Here is a 17573-nt window from a genome sequence, read left to right on the forward strand (position 1 = left end):
GCAAAGCTGGTGTCACAGAGGCCTTGTTCCACCCTGAGGATCGTGGCTCTGTTCAACCTCCACACAGCAGCCCTATTTCAGGAACTGGATCCGTAACGTTTAAGGGGCAGAGGAGGCCACTCAGAGTGAGGAGAGACAACGACATCCTTACACGTCCATTTATTAAACAAGTTCCTTCATGACAATTTAATACAATAGTTATTAACGATTAGTGTTGAGAAAATTATTTCCCTCTACATACAAAAATACAGATTTGAACACTATGAAAAAGATCAAGACAAGTACCATGAAAAACTGGTCCTTCAAATGAAAGGGGGAAAATTGAGGGCAATGTGAGGCTTTGCCTGCTGTCGGGGACAAATCAATAGCAGCAAAGCTTTGGGGCCCCAACCCACTCCATACATACAGACTTGAACCCAAAAGCCAGGCCAGCCAGGGGACGCCCACCCAGGGCTTCCACGTCAGCTGAAAAACCAAACACATAAACCTAAGTTTGCCCAACGGGCATCGCCTCAGAAAGCCCACAGTTGTGTCTTTAAACTGCCGAAATGAAAGAGACTTGATGAGTAAAATGTGATAGTTGTTAACATTGCCCCCCAAAAGTGCCACCAGGTGAAGTACCACGGAGAAATCATATTGGAAAGTTACTACTTAGCCATCTGACTTGACTTCCTTGGTTATCAAATAATTACATATTCTGACCCTTCAGAAGGACACCAAAAGCTACAATTTTATGTTTCAATCCATCTGTACCTTCATTTGCAATGGCTCAGCTAGTTTACTCAAGGGTTTTGGGACCAGACATAACTCACGTCCTGCAGGAAGGAGAAGCAAAAGGAGCCGGTGAAGAGTACGTGTCTGTGTCTTGGTGTCATCTAGCTCCTCACAGCAAACAGCCTGTTTTGTTCAGGCCTGAAGCCTGGAAAAGGCCGCCGAGCCTAGCCAGAGCATCCACAACGAACCAATCTGAGATCCGAGTGGAAGATGAGAGCCCCGGAGCTGGCTGAGGTCCCCCAGGAAGCTTCCCACTCTGCAGTGGCAGGAAGGCCATGCCTCTGCAGGACGCTCGCACTGATTCTGGAAGGGGCCCAGGCCAGAGAATACACTTGGGCTCAGTTCACCAGCCCAAACCACAGGGGAAGGAGCCGGACACCGGCCTCTCACCATTTTACACCCAAAGACAGGAGGTCAGGGCTCTGATGCTACTCTTCTGTTTGTAAAATATGGAACCACTTTCTTTGTACTGTTTGAGGTGAGCAGTGGCTCCAAACTGAGCAAGTGGTTAAAAAATGCCAAATGCAATTATACTGACTTATAATTATTTCACAGAAATATACTCTTACTCTCAGACTATTTAAATAAGCAGGAACAAGATGCAGGAGAAGCAGCAGCAGAGAGGAAAGAGGAATAGCCAGGGAATTTTTTTTGTTTTTTTTCTTCTTTAAAATACATACGAAGTGTAAAGAGAAAATGGCCAAAACCTCAAAACTACCATTGTTGAAAACAATATTAAAAGGACACAATCTAAAATCATGCTACAAAAATAGTGTTATCTTGTTTAACTAAATGTACATCTTTTTTTCCAATTCCATGATTGACAAGAGTGCTTATGCGACGCATGGAAGGCACCAGAGGTGAAGTGATTATTTGCCTTAAAATATACAAAGAATTGCCTACTTTGAAAAAAAAATAGTCATACTTGTAAATAAATAGTTTAGTGTTTCTGCCATGGGTTCCTGAACCCCTACAAATTTCAACATATACAAATAGTTTCAATTCCTACCATTCTCTTAGAGGGAACCACGTCAAACAAAATCAAGTTAGGAAAAGCACTGATTTTATCCAAGTAGGTCAATTTGAGGCAAGATTCAAAAACTCATTTTAAAATGGGTTACAGAGTGAAAGAGTTGGGAACAGGCAGCCCCCTTTGGGCCTGGGTCAGCCTACGAGTCCATCCCAGGTGTCCTGCCCTCACATCTGCCAGCCCTCAGGCCGGCCAGGTCTCCCTTCAAACCCTGAGTATTTGCCTTCCTCACTTCTGCGAAGAGGGGAACAGAATCTTGAAGCTTGCAAAATCGATTCTGGAAAAAGCAGGCAAGCAAAGCAGGGCCTGTGGGGGGAAGCAGCGTGAGTCAGGCCTCACCCTGGTGCAAGGGCACCAGCAGGTCTCCCTCCTCTCCCCTCCTCACCATCCCTACGCGTCTCCTCACCATCCCTACGCGTGACTGACTTTCCTGATAAAAATGGGATACTTCCTACTGGGTGTCAGCACTGTCATCCTAAGGCAACTCAGACGTGATAGTTTTAGACTATGATCAAATCTCACACAAACCATTATCAGAATCTTGTTTCACACCATCTCTCTTTTCAGGCAGTTATGAAAAGAAACTCTGACCTGGCCCTAAATCCCATCAGCAAAGCTGACTAAGGTGGTCTGAGATATGTTCTTACTCCTAAACTCAAACTTTAAAAGTTTCAATAGCTCCCTGGGGGTCCAAGCCAAAGGCTCCCTGGCCTTTGTGTATTATGCATCCCAAAGAAAACACGCCACCCCAGGTGTCTAGATAGCAAGTCACCTGAATTAAAGCCTCAGCATAAAAAAACAAACATAGACAACAAACTTACCCTATGAAATAGATACACAGTTCAAGGACCCATCATCTGAACTTTTCTAGGCAAGTTGCCAGTGATTCAAACTCAGCAGGTTTGTGGGTGATTTTTTCCTTACTGTTACGTTTGTGGAGTAGGAAAAACTAGAAAGGAAAAAAAAATCCCAAAGGTTGAAAAACTGTATCCAAATGGAAAAAGAATATATTCCAGACAAAAGAAGGGAAAATACAATAGGACCCACTCCGCTTCAAGCTAAAGAGTGTACAAAATGCCACTCACTTGCATGAAGAAGAATTAAACAGAACATTCACTTTCGGAAGAAAATTTTTCTAGACCTAACAGATATTGACGGTATTTTCTCTCACAGTTTCTAAATAAAAGAAACATAAAAGGTCAAATATTTTAAATTACTTTCTCAACCAGACAGTTCTTGTGACTTGAATGATATCTGCTGAGAAGAGAAGAAACACAAGATTCTACAAAGCGCCAGGGAAGTTTACAAAGCTAAAAGCTGAGGGTGTCAGGCCTGCGTCCTGTCTGAGATGGCAGCCAAGCCAGCTTCAGAGTCACCTGCTGGACCCACATGTTCCTGAGCCAGATGCCAGGAGCTCACCCACAGGACGGGAAAGACCTGTCCCCAGCATCCCACTCTTGCCCTCAAGCTGACTGTGGAACGCGAGACAGCTTTCAAAGACAAGAGGACAGGAAGGCAGTTAACAAAGTACACGTTTCCAAGACAGCCTGAGCTGTCTAGTGCTGATAGCAGACAGGTGGGGTGTTCCAGGCCACTGCTTCCTCCCTTATCTCCCAGACCTGGCCGTGTGTGGACCTCACCAGCCTACCAAGCTGTTGGGCCTGGACGTGGGTGCTGATAAAATAAGACAAACCTGGAAAAAACCCTGGATTCTGCAACTTCACTAGGAAATAACAAGGCACCTAGAGACTTCACAAGCTAATGGCAGTCCCTGGAGCAGGAAGCAACTTGTTATTCTGCTCAAGAGAATCCACCAGCAGCTCTTGGCCTAGAAACTTTTTCCCCTTTCTGATACCTGTTTAACGTCATTATTACTCTGTAAACAAGATCTGGAGAAGATGACAGTCAGGCAGTGGCACAAAGACTTCATGACTGTTTTGTTTTGAACACAGATGAGACAATAGGAACCCTTAAATCATCACTGCCTTGCAGAATCACTAAATTGTTCAGGTGTCTCCATGCTCTATTCATCTCCTAGGTGCTAAGACCAACCCACAGAAAATCTGGCACAGAAAGGGATTAGACCTCAGTCCACCTCTCAGAGCACATGGATAGGTGACGGGTTTCTCATGTGAATCTACAAGAAAAGGTACGCCTGGGCCACACGCAGGACATGGCACCCACTAGGGTTGTTCAGGTCTCATTCACTGCAAGCAAGAATTCACGTACATGAGTGCACAAAGGTGTTGGAGCTTGGTCTCCTCAGGCTTAACCCAAGGCTGACTCACTAGGACAGCTTCCAAGAACCACAGATGTAACTGCAAACTTGAAGAGAGTCAGAATGTTTTCAACTGAGTCACGAAGCTGTCCCAGAAGCACCCGACATAGGGTGGAGGTCAGACACATTCCCTGGCTGCCCACAGGCGTGAGCCTTCCTGCCAGGGGACAGTAACAGGGCCCGAAGGGCTGGGGGTGCCGCTGGCTTCCCAGGGCCAAGCGCTCAGAGCTGGGCCGGACTTGCCCATGCTGGCTTCAGCTCACATTGCCAAGGAAGATGTGTATTGGGGCTGTGCAGGCTGCCACATTCTTGCTTTTTCTGTAGACAAAAGTCACCTCCCTCGGATGGCTGTTTACTTCAAATCAAACTTCTCTGACGAGATTTTAATCTGAAACTGCATCTGTTCTTCCCAGCTTTATGTGGGGCCAACAAGTATCTCCAGCCTTTCATGACTGTAATCCCTCTTTAAGGCAGGGAAAACATATTTCCCTCCCATGCCTTCAGCAGTGTGAAAGAAGGATATCAAAGAGAATCAGAGGGAAAAAATACCAAATCCACCCAATCAGTGCCAAAATAAACTTTCTCTGAGGACATCAGTGTTTGCATCCATCTAAAACCACCAGAGGTTCCACCAAATGCTTGAGGGTTTCAGCTGTACAGTGTCCAGGAAAAAACCCAAATGCACACAGCAACTGCAGTTTCTTCAAGTTTTGCTTTAAATGTGAAAACCAATATCGTCCCACCAGAACACTGAGAAAAACTAAGGTCGCTCAGCCTTCAAATGCCCCAAACCAAACTGATATTGGTCCCTATTGAAACTATTAAACGCAAAAACGCTTCCTTCAATTTGCCAAGAGGTCATTTTAAGGCCCCCAGATATCGATTGTCTTCTGTTTGCATATAGAGGCAATATAAGAAAAATATAGGCGTCTTCATATTCACCTTGGATAACCCTATTCCCTCCAGAACTTTCGTCACCACGTGGTCTATACATGATGACATGTGCAACCACACATTACATCAACTAGAAAGCGTCCATAGCACCACTTCCGGTTCTAGTGGGAGTTAATTAAATACAAGGAGAACATTTACAAAACCACCGAGGAGCCTCACGGCACAAAGGATATTAAATAGTTACAGGGACATAAATAATTCTGAAGAGTCTATCACGAAGATGCAAATTAACTCCTAAGTCACTCTCTGGCGTGTCATCCTTTTTGGTCATTCATCTGCATTTAGTTTCAGTGACTTCAGAACTATTTCTTGCAGCTGACAACATATCCTCAGGAGGCCAACCACCTGCCCCCCTCTTTCACCAGATGATCAAGTGGTTTTACTGAAGTGAGCTGGGAAAACTTGGGCAACAAGCCCACCTGAATGGTGTTCTTGTTTTCAATCTCACTTCAAAGATGGCCTTTTTTGGGGGCCAAGTAACATGATTCCCAGCAGGAGATTTCTGATAAAGCTCAGGATGGTCCTTCCAAGTGGGCCCCATTTAATGCAAGGCTGAGCCTTTGTGGCCCTATTTTAAAAGGAACTCTCAAAGAGAGATAAGCCCAATTTTGACTTTGCAAACACACTCAACAGACCTGACAGGCAGCACACCCAGCTGTGAGCTGGCCTGGCTGCCCTCTCTGTGGGAGCAGAGGGGAGACGAGTTGTTAACAGGCTAGCAGGGTCAGCCCCTGAGGCAGACGTGGTGCTCAGCCACATAGCCTGGGACACTGCTCCCAACTCAGATCGTACTGAAGGTGTTGGTGCAGGAAGCTAACCCCAACTCCGACCCCCAGCCCAGCAGTGTTGCCTGATCAACACTGTGAGCTCAGATGCTGTCCTTTTCTGGGGAATGAGACGCCACATGTCCATAAGGTGACGCTTTCTTGCACAGACCCCCCGCCGCCCCCTCGGAGTTATTTATTACACAGTACGCTGCTAAAGCTGTCAACATTTGTCAGCACTTGATCTTGGGGATTTCTCCATGTTACTGCAAAATCTTCCTGCCACAGTAAGTGCTTTTTGGTGAGGGCTAAACACAAAATGTTAGAGCTAAAGTGAGGTTTGTAAACATTAAAAACAGTTCAAAGAGGGAAAACCTGACAAACTAAAACAACTTTTTTCCATAAAAGATATAATTACTCTCTAATTTTTTAAAAAAACTACTGCATCATGGGGACTCACTGAACTCATTCACCACACACAATAATCTTCACTTTATCAAGAATCAATCAGAAACCTTAAGTAGCTAGGATTTTTCCCCCCAACAACTCCCAAGAATGATGTCTACAGTTATGACACTGAGGCGCCCAAAGCGACAATTAGTGCCTTCTGAAACATGGGTGGAAGGGTGTGTTCTGGTGCAAATTCAAGTATTTTCAAATCCTAGACGAATCTGCTCAGAATCATTTTAGAACTCTTTGCAGGCATTTAGAAAATTAGCACACATCCCTAAAATAGAGGGGTGTGTGTGTGCATGTGTGCGCGCACGCGTGTGCATGCTGTTTTTTAACACAAACACCTCCCACCTGCGGTTCATGAAGCCAGCAAATGGGCAAGTGCTTTGGCTGGTGGAGTAGGCTTGTTTCTTTCATGGCTTTTACCTGAGAAGGTAAAATGACTGAAAATCTGCAATTCAGCCTCAAAGTATTTAGGGTAGGCAGGAAACTGGAAAACAAGATAGTCCCCATAACAAGATGGCCCCCATATTCCTGGAGAAGAATCTGGGGTTCAGGAAGGTGATTCATTTGAGGAAGAATCAAGTGATTTCTCAGCAGAGTAGGAAACAAAAGGTCACCCTTCCTTGAGTCAGAGGTCCCTGGGAGCCATCCTAACAGGACATCAGCTTTCCCCAGCCCTGTGGCCTTTGGGCTGGTGCTGGCTGCCTGGGGGCCCTGGCATGGAAGATGAGGAGTGGGCTGGATCCCAGCACGCAGACTCAACACTGACTTGGAGCAGGTGGTGCCTAAGGCTGCCTGAGAACCACTGCCGACTGACCGTTCCAATGCTGTCCCTTCATTCCTTCATATTTCCCCCCTCTTAGCAGCCCCATTTAATCCAAAGTCTTGTTACAAATACACACGACAAGGTGGCTCAGAGTCAAAGGAAGCCTGTGCTTCAGGGCAGGTAAGACCTCAAGTGGACCTGGGCAGTGACGCCGGCTGCTCCACAGCCCCAAACGCTGAGGAACGTGGGCCTCCCAACTCCACCGCGGACCCGCCCACTGGGCCACTCGGGAAACCCTTTCCCAAAATGAACTTTTACCAAAGAGGACAAAATTCAACTGAATCACATGGAAATCTGACAGGACAAGGGAAAGAAAACTTGACTGAGAGACAGGCACGAGGACGGGAGGGAGGAGGATCCAGGCAGGTCCTCACGTGTCCAGGCGCTGGATCTCAGGGCGACTGTCCACATCCCTGGACTCCGTGCGGGCTCGGATGTAGTCATTGGTGCTCTGCTGGCGGACGCTGACTCTCCATTTCTGCACTGCCAGGAATGTGTTCACTGCATATGCCGCAGTCGCCAAGAAGCCAAATATCTAAAAACACACCAGCACAGTTAGTCCTCGGGCACGTGGCCTGGCCCCTCAAGGCTTCTGTGGTGACCCAAGCCACATGCAGCCCCTTCCTGCTCTGCCAGCTGATCATTACAACCCTGTGCCTTCATTCCTTGATCTCTTCCCCCTCTCAGCAGCCCCATTTGATCTAAAGTCTTGTTTCAAATACATATGACGGGGTGGCTCAGAGTCAAAGGGAAGCCTGTGCCCAGCCCTGCTGGATGTGTGGCTGTCACACCACAGCTGAGTCTCTAGTCATGTGACACACAGAAAATCTTGCCTGACCTAAAGACAGCCTAAGGTTTCTTTTGAAGTATTTTGGACGTATAAAAAAATAAATCACAAAAGTACCTCTTTTACTGCAACTTCAGGGCCTCTGGTCCCAGATGAGAAAATACAGTGCAGACAAAATGTAACATAGACAGAAAATCAGGGTTTCGCATGTGGGTCCCAAATCAAGCCACAGGGCCAATGTTCCACATCACAGCCCCCATCCCACACCTGCCTCTCATGGGGCAGCTCCAAGTAAGCAGCTCCAGAGTAAGAAGCACAGAGTTTTAATTATTAAGACTTACAAATCGCCTGAGTGGCACCTGGGAGAGCAGTTCGTTTAATCATTTATAAACCTTTTAATCCCCCCATTACAAAAAGGATAACTGTTCCTCATAAACTGAGAACAATACAGAAATGCAGGGCATGGAGAGGGGAAGTCCTACATTATCTGGTCCCCACCTGCCGTGGCATTTCCACCTTGAAATGTCATGTGACTGCTAAATGGTGTCATGACTGCATTCAAGAACCCTCCCTTCCCCAGGCAGATAAGGCTCTTAGACATCAAGGACTGTGTTGGAAACGAACCAAAGCAGGGGTTCTTGAACTTGAGAGCACATCTGTATCATCCAGAGGGTTACTTCAAATACATTTCTGACTCAGTAGCTCTGGAGCGGAGCCTAAGGATGTCTAACAGATGCCAAGGCTGCTGTTCTGGGGCCCATACTTTGAGAACCACAGCACTGAAGGGACTGGGACCCCCACTGGCCCAGTAACATCATCTTTAGCAAAGAAAAGCCACAGGAGGGGGAGCAGGACACATGCCAGGGACAGGCGAGCAGGTCACAGGAGGTCCCCAGATCAGCTTGCTTTAACCATTTGAGTTTGCTTACCACGGCAGCAATTTCTGCTCCGGCTCTATGGTTTAAAGCAGCCAGTACGATTGAAGCAATAAAGAAAAGGAAAGCGCTGAGTCCAGTGTTGACCAAATCCTAAAGGGAGAGACAAAATAAACCAAGTGAAAAGAACCATTCCATCTTTGCTCTAAAAGCAACTGGAGAACTTTCAAAATAAGACCCACGATACCCAACCTCCCTGGTGGCTCCATATTTCAGTCTCAATGTCACAGGGTTACTGGTCACACAAAAGAAGGCAAAGTTAACAGTTTATGACACTACTTGATAAATCACCACCACAAAATCTACATTTTCACCAACCCCACTACCCTTTCTGAAGAAATAGTAACCAAAATTGCTAACACTAATTACCATTTAGAGGTCTGGTGCCATCTTTTAAAAACCACACTCAAATCATCTTGCTATGGACAAAGCTCCCCAAGGATCCAAATGTACTAAAACTGGTGAAATCCCTCCAGCATTCCCTGCACTCACATGTGACATTCAAAACAAACTTTCACACAGAGAGCACACTTAGCCAGACTTCACGCTCTTTCTCAAGCAGTCTTTCAAGCCTCTATGTCACTAAAGCCTGGAGAATTTTCTCCTAAGCTTCTTGCACAGCATGCATCCACCGTTTCACAGATTTAGCTCGTCTTATTTGTAGAAGGGAACATAGCAGGGTAATGAAAGGTCACAGCTTGACCAGGGTCCAAACCACCCATATGACTTTGGACAAGCTACTTTGTTTCTGTGCTTTACGTGAGAATGTACCCCCTTCCTCCCAGAGTTGTTGAAGGAATTAAATGGAACCATACAGGTGAAGAGCCCAGCATGGTGCCTGGCCCACAGCTACAGTGGCCTACATATTTACTGTCACTTCTGTTATTACTACTTTGGCATGAGGCACCCAGTAGCCTGGGTCATACCAGAGTACCTCTAAAACCTCTATAGGAAAAAAATTCAGGAAAAAGCCCAAACTGCCTGAGTGCCAGGCTGATTACACTATCCACACCTGATGGATCCTCTGGTCTGGCCTAGCTCCAAGGTCGATTTCCTCTTTTTGAAGATGTAAAGATGGCTGGTGCGGTGGCTCATGCCTGTAATCCCAGCACTTTGGGAGGCTGAGGCGGATGGATCACTTGAGGTCAGGTGTTCGAGAACAGCCTGGTCAACATGGTGAAACCCCATCTCTACTAAAAATACAAAAATTAGCTGGGCATGGTGGCGCATGCCTGTAATCCCAGCTACTTGGGCAGCTGAAGTACGAGAATCACTTGAACCCGGGAGGCAGAGGTTGCAGTGAGCTAAGATCGTGCCACTGCACTCTAGCCTGGGTGACAGAGCGAGACTCTTGTCTCAATAAAATAATAAAATAAGATGTAAAGAGACAATGCTGGCATCATAACAGTGCTGAGTCTTGCAGCAGACACCCAACCTGCTCCTGGCTCATGGAAAGCTCTGCTCAGACGCATCTGCCAGCAGGATGGGTTTCAGCTATGACCTGCGTAAGCCAGGGCAAATTTTTCACAAATTCAAACCAGGAAGCGTTTAGTTACACTCAGCTCTGGGTAAGATGCTGTAGGGGTAAAAAAAGAATATAAAATATACTTCCCAAAGCAAAGACTATTCAGAAACGAGGGGAAAATACAATACACTGTGAGGTCAAACATCAAATAAAACAGTATCAACATTAACAGTGACTACATAAAAACAGAGATGCAGCAAAGGGCTAGAAAACAAACAGGCCGGGCACGGTGGCTCATGCCTGTAATCCCAGCACTTTGGGAGGCCGAGGCGGGCGGATCACCTGAGGTTGGGAGTTCGAGACCAGCCTGACCAACATGGAAAAACCCCGTCTCTACTAAAAATACAAAATTAGCCGGGTGTGGTGGCACATGCCTGTAATCCCAGCTACTCGGGAGGCTGAGGCAGGAGAATCGCTGGAACCCGGGAGGCGGAGGTTGCAGTGAGCCAAGACTGCGCCGCTGCACTCCAGCCTAGGCAACAAGAGCGAAACTCTGTCTCAAAAAAAAAAAAAAAGAAAAAGAAAAAAGAAAACAGTCAAAAATTTTAAAGTTGTAGGAGTATCAGTAGTTTTAAATTTGCTTTAGTAATGATCATTAACAGTAGTGAGTGAAGAATGAGATGATGAATGGGAACAGCAAATACAGGGAAAAAATATGTCAAAAAGCCTATTTTAAAAAGATAAAAAATAATCTTTCAACATGATCTGAGGCTAAGAAACCAGATTAAACCAGGGGAAAAAAACGCCAGCAACTGCTAACAAGAGCATAACATATCTGCCTCCTCAAATCCCACTGAATCATATTTAAATACTGAAGCACTTGCTTAAAAGATGAATCTAAATATAATTGAGCTTCTAGGACTGTGCTGTCCAATAGGGCAAACACTAGCCATATGTGACTGAAGTTAAACTAATTCATATAAGATAAAAAATTTCACTCTTCAATCACACTAGCCACAATTCGAGTGCTCAGTGGCCACATGTGACAAGTGGCTGCCTCAAGGGCACAGCAGATCAGAAAACATTTCAATTGTCAGAGCAGCTGCTATAGCACCACACTGCCCTGAGATCAATGACTAGGTCACAGAGAAAATGGGGAAAGAAGGACATATGAAACACTACCATGAGGGTGCATGCAGCCAACTCAACTGCAAGACCCTCTACAGGATAAATGACCCAGTTTTTCTAACAAGTCAACAGAATAAAAAGAAAAAGGGAGGCCAGGCACAGCAGCTCATGCCTATAATCCCAGCACTTTGGGAGGCCGAGGTGGGCGGATCACCTGAGGTCAGGAGATGGAGACCAGCCTGGCAAATATGGTGAAACCCCGTCTCTACTAAAAATACAAAAATTAGCTGGACCCCGTCTCTACTAAAAAATTAGCTGTGGCCAGGCGTGGTGGCTCACATCTGTAATCCCAGCACTTTGGGAGGCCAAGGTGAGTGGACAGCCTGAGCTCAGGAGCTCAAGACCACCCCTAGGCAATATGGCGAAACCCCATCTCTACTAAAACACAAAAAATTAGCCAGGCACGGTGGCATGCACCATGTAGTCCCAGTTACTCGGCAGGCTGAGGCAAGAGAATCGCTAGAGGCCAGGGGGCGGAGATTGCAATGAGCCAAGATCTCGCCACTGCACTCCAGCCTGGGCGACAGAGTGAGACTCCCTCTCAAAAAAAAAACAAAGTTAGCTGGGCATAGTAGCACATGCCTGTAGTCCCAGCTACTCGGGAGGCTGAGGCAGAAGAACTGCGTGAATCCAGGAGGCAGAGGTTGCTGTGAGCCCAGATTGCGCCACTGCACTCCAGCCTGAGAGACAGAATGAGACTCCGTCTCAAAGAAAAAAAAAAAGAAAAAAAAGGAAAAAAAAGAAAATCATATTGGGGGCCAGGCATGGTGGCTCCTGCCTGTAATCCCAACACTTGGGAGGCTGAGGTGGGTGGATTGTTTGAGCTCAGGAGTTCGAGACCAGCCTGGGCAACACAGCAAAACCCTGTCTCTACAAAAAAATTCAAAAAAATTAGCCAGGCATGGTAGTGCGTTCCTGTAGTCCCAGCTACTTGGAAGGCTGAGGTAGGAAGATTGTTTGAGCCCAGGAGGTCGAGGCTGCAGTGAGCGGAGACTGCGCCTCTGCACTGCAGCCTGGGGGACAGCGTGAGACTCTGTCTCAAAAAAATAAATAAATAAATGATATAAGGCAAAAAGGTCTAAGTATAAGGAAGCAAACAAAGTGCTCAATAGGGGAGTTGTTCAATAAAATGGTATTTCCATAATGGAACACTATGCAGTCATTAAAAATAATCACGTAGTTATATATTTAACATGTAAGGTACAATAATTTAAATGAAAAAGCATGATTTTAATGGTTCCATTTTTCTGCACTCACATATCACAACACACATGCATACGCAAAAGACTGTCTAGAGAGAACAGTTTAGAAGGATTTATACTCAAGTATTTTAAGTGGTTACCCTTCATTGGGTCATATCACGTATTTTTAAACAGCTTTATTGAGATATAATTCACATACCATAACATATACCCAATTAAAGTATATAATTCAATCACAATGTAATTTTAGAACATTTTTAGCACTCCAAAAAAAGCCTCATACGCATTAGCAGTTATTTCTCATTCCTCCCCCAACCCTAAGCAACCACCAATCTGCTTTCTGTCTCTATGGATTTGCCTATTCTGGACATTTTTTTTTTCCTGTGTGTGAAATCTGCCACAAATATTCTGGACATTTCATACAAATAGAATGACATAACATGTGCTTTGTGCCTGGCCTCTTCTGAAGGCGTGGCCTGCCCCTCCACACCAGTGGGATATCTCGTCAGGTGGGACGAGAGACTGAGAAAAGAAGTAAGACACAGAGACAAAGCATAGAGAAACAACAGTGGGCCCAGGAGACCGGCACTCAGCATACCAAGGACCTGCCCCGGCACCGGTCTCTGAGTTCTCTGTTTTTATTGATTATTATTTTCATTATCTCAGCAAGAGGAATGCGGTAGGAGAACAGGATGATAATAGGGAGAAGGTCAGCAAAAAAAACATGTGAGCAAAGGAATCTATGTCATAATTAAGTTCAAGGGGAGGTACTATGTCTGGATGTGCACGTAGGCCAGATTTATGTTTCTCTCTGCCCAAACATCTCAGTGGAGTAAAGAATAACAAGGCAACATTGCTGCCAACATGTCTCGCCTCCCGCCATAGGGCGGTTTTTCTCCTATCTCAGAATTGAACAAATGTACAATCAGGTTTTATACCGAGACATTCCGTTCCCAGGGGCAGGCAGGAGACAGTGGCCTTTCTCTATCTCAACTGCAAGAGGCCTTCCTCTTTTACTAATCCTCCTCAGCACAGACCCTTTACGGGTGTCGGGCTGGGGGACGGTCAGGTCTTTTTCATCCCATGAGGCTGTATTTCAGACTATCTCACGGGGAGAAACCTTGGACAATACCCGGCTTTCCAAGGCAGAGGTCCCTGTGGCTTTTAGCAGTGCGTTGTGCCCCTGGTTTATTGAGACTAGAGAATGGCGATGACTTTTACCAAGCATACTGCTTGTAAACATTTTGTTAACAAGGCACGTCCTGCACAGCCCTAGATGCCTTAAACCTTGATTCCATACAACACATGTTTTTGTGAGCTCAAGGTTGGGGCAAAGTGGCTGGGGCAAAGTTACAAATTAACAGCATCTCAGCAAAGCAATTGTTCAAGGTACAGGTAAAAATGGAATTTCTTATGTCTTCCCTTTCTACATAGACACAGTAACAGTCTGATCTCTCTTTTTTTCCCCTACATCTTCCACTTAGTATAATGGTTCTAAGGTTTATTCATGTTGTAGCATGTATCAGTACTCATTCCTTTTTATTACTGAATAATATTCCATTGTATAGATACACCACGTTATTTATCCTTCATCAGTTGATGGACATTTATTTCTACTTTTTGGTTATTATAGATAATGTAGCTATGAACCTACAAGCTTTTGTGTGAACAAGTTTTCATTTCTCTTGGGTCATCAGATGATTTTTTTTAAATTATCTATTATCTTCTAGTTTTTGGGGTTTTTTTGTTGTTTTGTTTTGTTTTGTTTTACAATAAGCACTTATTACTCACACAACTTGAAAGGCTTAATACTGGAATACTGCAAATCTTAAGTCAGCATCAAGCACTTGAGTTCCTGGGCCATGAAACAAATCAAGGCTGAACTGATCACAAATGAAATATTTGTACACAGAATCAGCTGGGGGCTGTCACTGCAATCCTGGTTGGCCCCCAAACCAATGTGCTAGGTGGCTGGCTCTAGCCTCTGTCCTATCCATCCAGGAGACAAGAACGTTTGCAAGCACTCGACCCATCCTTTGCACTCACTTGTGCTTGAATGGCCCCAGGATCAAAGGGACAATTATAATGTTGATGACAGTAGCAGCTACCATCTATGGAGTCACTGTGCCAATCATATCGCTCCCAGTGAATTCTAACCTAATTATGATCCAAAATGCCCACAAGACAGGACTTGTTATTTTGCTCTACTTTCATGGATGAGGAAACTGGGTCCCAGAAAGAATGAGTGTGCTATAATGAAAAATATTTAATCAAATCCTTGAATCTCTTGAGTGATATGAGCATCTTTTGTTATTCATAATGAGTCCCTTTCAATCATACCCGAGTTTATGCTAACGAAGTGACTTTTGTGGGAAGAGGGTGGTAGACAGTTTCAGGATAGGGGCAGGTCACCAGAAAAACCAGCCAGGTGATTAGAGAGTTGGAATTTTCAGCCCCATCCCCTGGACCTCCAGGGAAGTTAGAGGAGCTGGACATTGAGTTCAATCACCAAATGGCCAATCAGTCATGCCTACCTAGTGAAATCTCCAGAAAAAATACCTGAACGATGGGGTCTGGGGAGCTTCTGAGTGGAGCTCATTCTGACTCCATAAGGACAGAGGCTCCTGCATCTGAGGCCCTCCAGACCTCACCCTATGCATCTCTCCCATGTGGCTGTTCCTGAGTTGTATCGTTTAAAACATATCAGTAATTGTTTAAGTAAAGCCCCTTCCTGAGTCCTGTGAGTCACTGCAGAAAATGACTGAACCTGAGGGGTGGTGGAAACCATCGAATCTGTACTCAGCCAGACAGAAGTGCCTGGGCACCCCTTTTGCAGCTGGTGTCTAAAGTGGGGCCATCTTGTGGGACTGGGCCCTCGTCTGTGGGATCTGTGCTAACTCCGAGAGTTAGTGTCAGAATTGAACGGAATTGTTAAACACCCAGTCAGTGTCAAAGGATTACAGAACAGCTTGGTGTGGAAAATGTATTTGGTGTCAGAAAAAAAAAAACACAAGACTTTCCCTCTCCCTCTCCCCCTCCCCCTCACCCTCCCCCTCCCCCCTCCCTCTCCCTCTCCCCACAGTCTCCCTCTCCCTCTCTTTCCACGGTCTCCCTCTGATGCCGAGCCGAAGCTGGACTGTACTGCTGCCATCTGGGCTCAATGCAACCTCCCTGCCTGATTCTCCTGCCTCAGCCTGCCGAGTGCCTGGGATTGCAGGCGCGCGCCGCCACGCCTGACTGGTTTTCGTATTTTTTGGTGGAGACGGGGTTTTGCTGTGTTGGCCGGGCTGGTCTCCAGCTCCTAACCGCGAGTGATCCGCCAGCCTCGGCCTCCCGAGGTGCCGGGATTGCAGACGGAGTCTCGTTCACTCAGTGCTCAATGGTGCCCAGGCTGGAGTGCAGTGGCGTGATCTCGGCTCGCTACAACCTCCACCTCCCAGCCGCCAGCCTTGGCCTCCCAAAGTGCTGAGATTGCAGCCTCTGCCCGGCCGCCCATCGTCTGGGATGTGAGGAGCCCCTCTGCCTGGCTGCCCAGTCTGGAAAGTGAGGAGCATCTCTGCCCGGCCGCCATCCCATCTAGGAAGTGAGGAGCGTCTCTGCCCGGCCGCCCATCGTCTGAGATGTGGGGAGCGCCTCTGCCCCGCCGCCCCGTCTGGGATGTGAGGAGCGCCTCTGCCTGGCCGCGACCCCATCTGGGAGGTGAGGAGCGTCTCTGCCCAGCTGCCCCGTCTGAGAAGTGAGGAGACCCTCCGCCCGGCGGCCGCCCCATCTGAGAAGTGAGGAGCCCCTCCGCCCGGCGGCCACCCCATCTGAGAAGTGAGGAGCCCCTCCACCCAGCAGCCACCCCATCTGGGAAGTGAGGAGCGTCTCTGCCCGGCAGCCACCCCGTCCGGGAGGGAGGTGGGGGTCAGCCCCCGCCCGGCCAGCCGCCCTGTCCGGGAGGGAGGTGGGGGGTCAGCCCCCCGCCCGGCCAGCCGCCCCGTCCAGGAGGGAGGTGGGGGGTCAGCCCCCCGCCCGGCCAGCCGCCCGGTCCGGGAGGGAGGTGGGGGGTCAGCCCCCGCCCGGCCAGCCGCCCCGTCCGGGAGGTGAGGGGCGCCTCTGCCCGGCCGCCCCTACTGGGAAGTGAGGAGCCCCTCTGCCCGGCCACCACCCCGTCAGGGAGGTGTACCCAACAGCTCATTGAGAACGGGCCATGATGACAATGGCAGTGTTGTGGAATAGAAAAGGGGGAAAGGTGGGGAAAAGACTGAGAAATCGGATGGTTGCTGTGTCTGTGTAGAAAGAAGTAGACTTGGGAGACTTTTCATTTTGTTCTGTACTAAGAAAAATTCTTCTGCCTTGGGATCCTGTTGATCTATGACCTTACCCCCAACCCTGTGCTCTCTGAAACATGTGCTGTGTCCACTCAGGGTTAAATGGATTAAGGGCGGTGCAAGATGTGCTTTGTTAAACAGATGCTTGAAGGCAACATGCTCCTTAAGAGTCATCACCACTCCCTAATCTCAAGTACCCAGGGACACAAACACTGCGGAAGGCCACAGGGTCCTCTGCGTAGGAAAACCAGAGACCTTTGTTCACTTGTGTATCTGCTGACCTTCCCTCCACTATTGTCCTATGACCCTGCCAAATCCCCCTCTGCGAGAAACACCCAAGAATGATCAATAAAAAAATAAAATAAAATAAAATAAAATAAAAAAACACAAGACGAGTCACGCCCTAGGGCTCAGGGCTCAGCCAGTGGCCCCTGTGGGTAACTGCCAACTGTTCTCAACCCACCACAGCACCCAGCCTGGGTTCTGAGATAGAGGCCTAAGAGGCCTCCAGGGCCACAGAGCCCACTAAGAAAGGGTGACCAAAGCGGAAGAAGAAAAACAGGACAGTGTGGGGGCCCAGGATGCAAGGTGAGAGAGTATG

At 47.2% G+C, this 17573-nt stretch overlaps 1 protein-coding gene across 6 annotated transcripts in view, besides 1 other annotated feature; it reads right to left on the reverse strand.

Moving 5' to 3' along the window:
• The window catches only part of CMTM4 (CKLF like MARVEL transmembrane domain containing 4), a 98566-nt gene that overhangs the window by 16428 nt on the left and 64565 nt on the right, over positions 1 to 17573 (reverse strand). For 3 of the 6 annotated variants that reach the window (XR_933209.3, XR_933210.3, XM_017022954.2), the window contains exons 3-4: positions 8799 to 8897; positions 7457 to 7617 (exon numbers count right to left, since the gene is read on the reverse strand). Coding sequence is in view for 4 of the 6 variants with exons in the window: in XM_017022954.2 (XP_016878443.1) it covers positions 7457 to 7617; positions 8799 to 8897 (260 nt within the window). In the remaining 2 variants the exon portion in view is untranslated. Of the gene's footprint in view, positions 1 to 144; positions 7618 to 8798; positions 8898 to 17573 lie in introns of those variants that run through there. The other 3 variants (XM_011522882.2, NM_181521.3, NM_178818.3) reach the window with 2 other exon arrangements.
• Positions 5277 to 5778: an enhancer, noted in NCBI's record as "H3K4me1 hESC enhancer chr16:66653785-66654286 (GRCh37/hg19 assembly coordinates)". NCBI's record gives its function as "activates a minimal SCP1, AML or CMV promoter by ChIP-STARR-seq in naive H9 embryonic stem cells {active_cell/tissue: H9 hESC(naive)}" and the evidence as "EXISTENCE:reporter gene assay evidence [ECO:0000049][PMID:30033119]".

Source organism: Homo sapiens, chromosome 16 (genome assembly GCF_000001405.40).
Source record: "Homo sapiens chromosome 16, GRCh38.p14 Primary Assembly".
Lineage (NCBI taxonomy): Eukaryota > Metazoa > Chordata > Mammalia > Primates > Hominidae > Homo > Homo sapiens.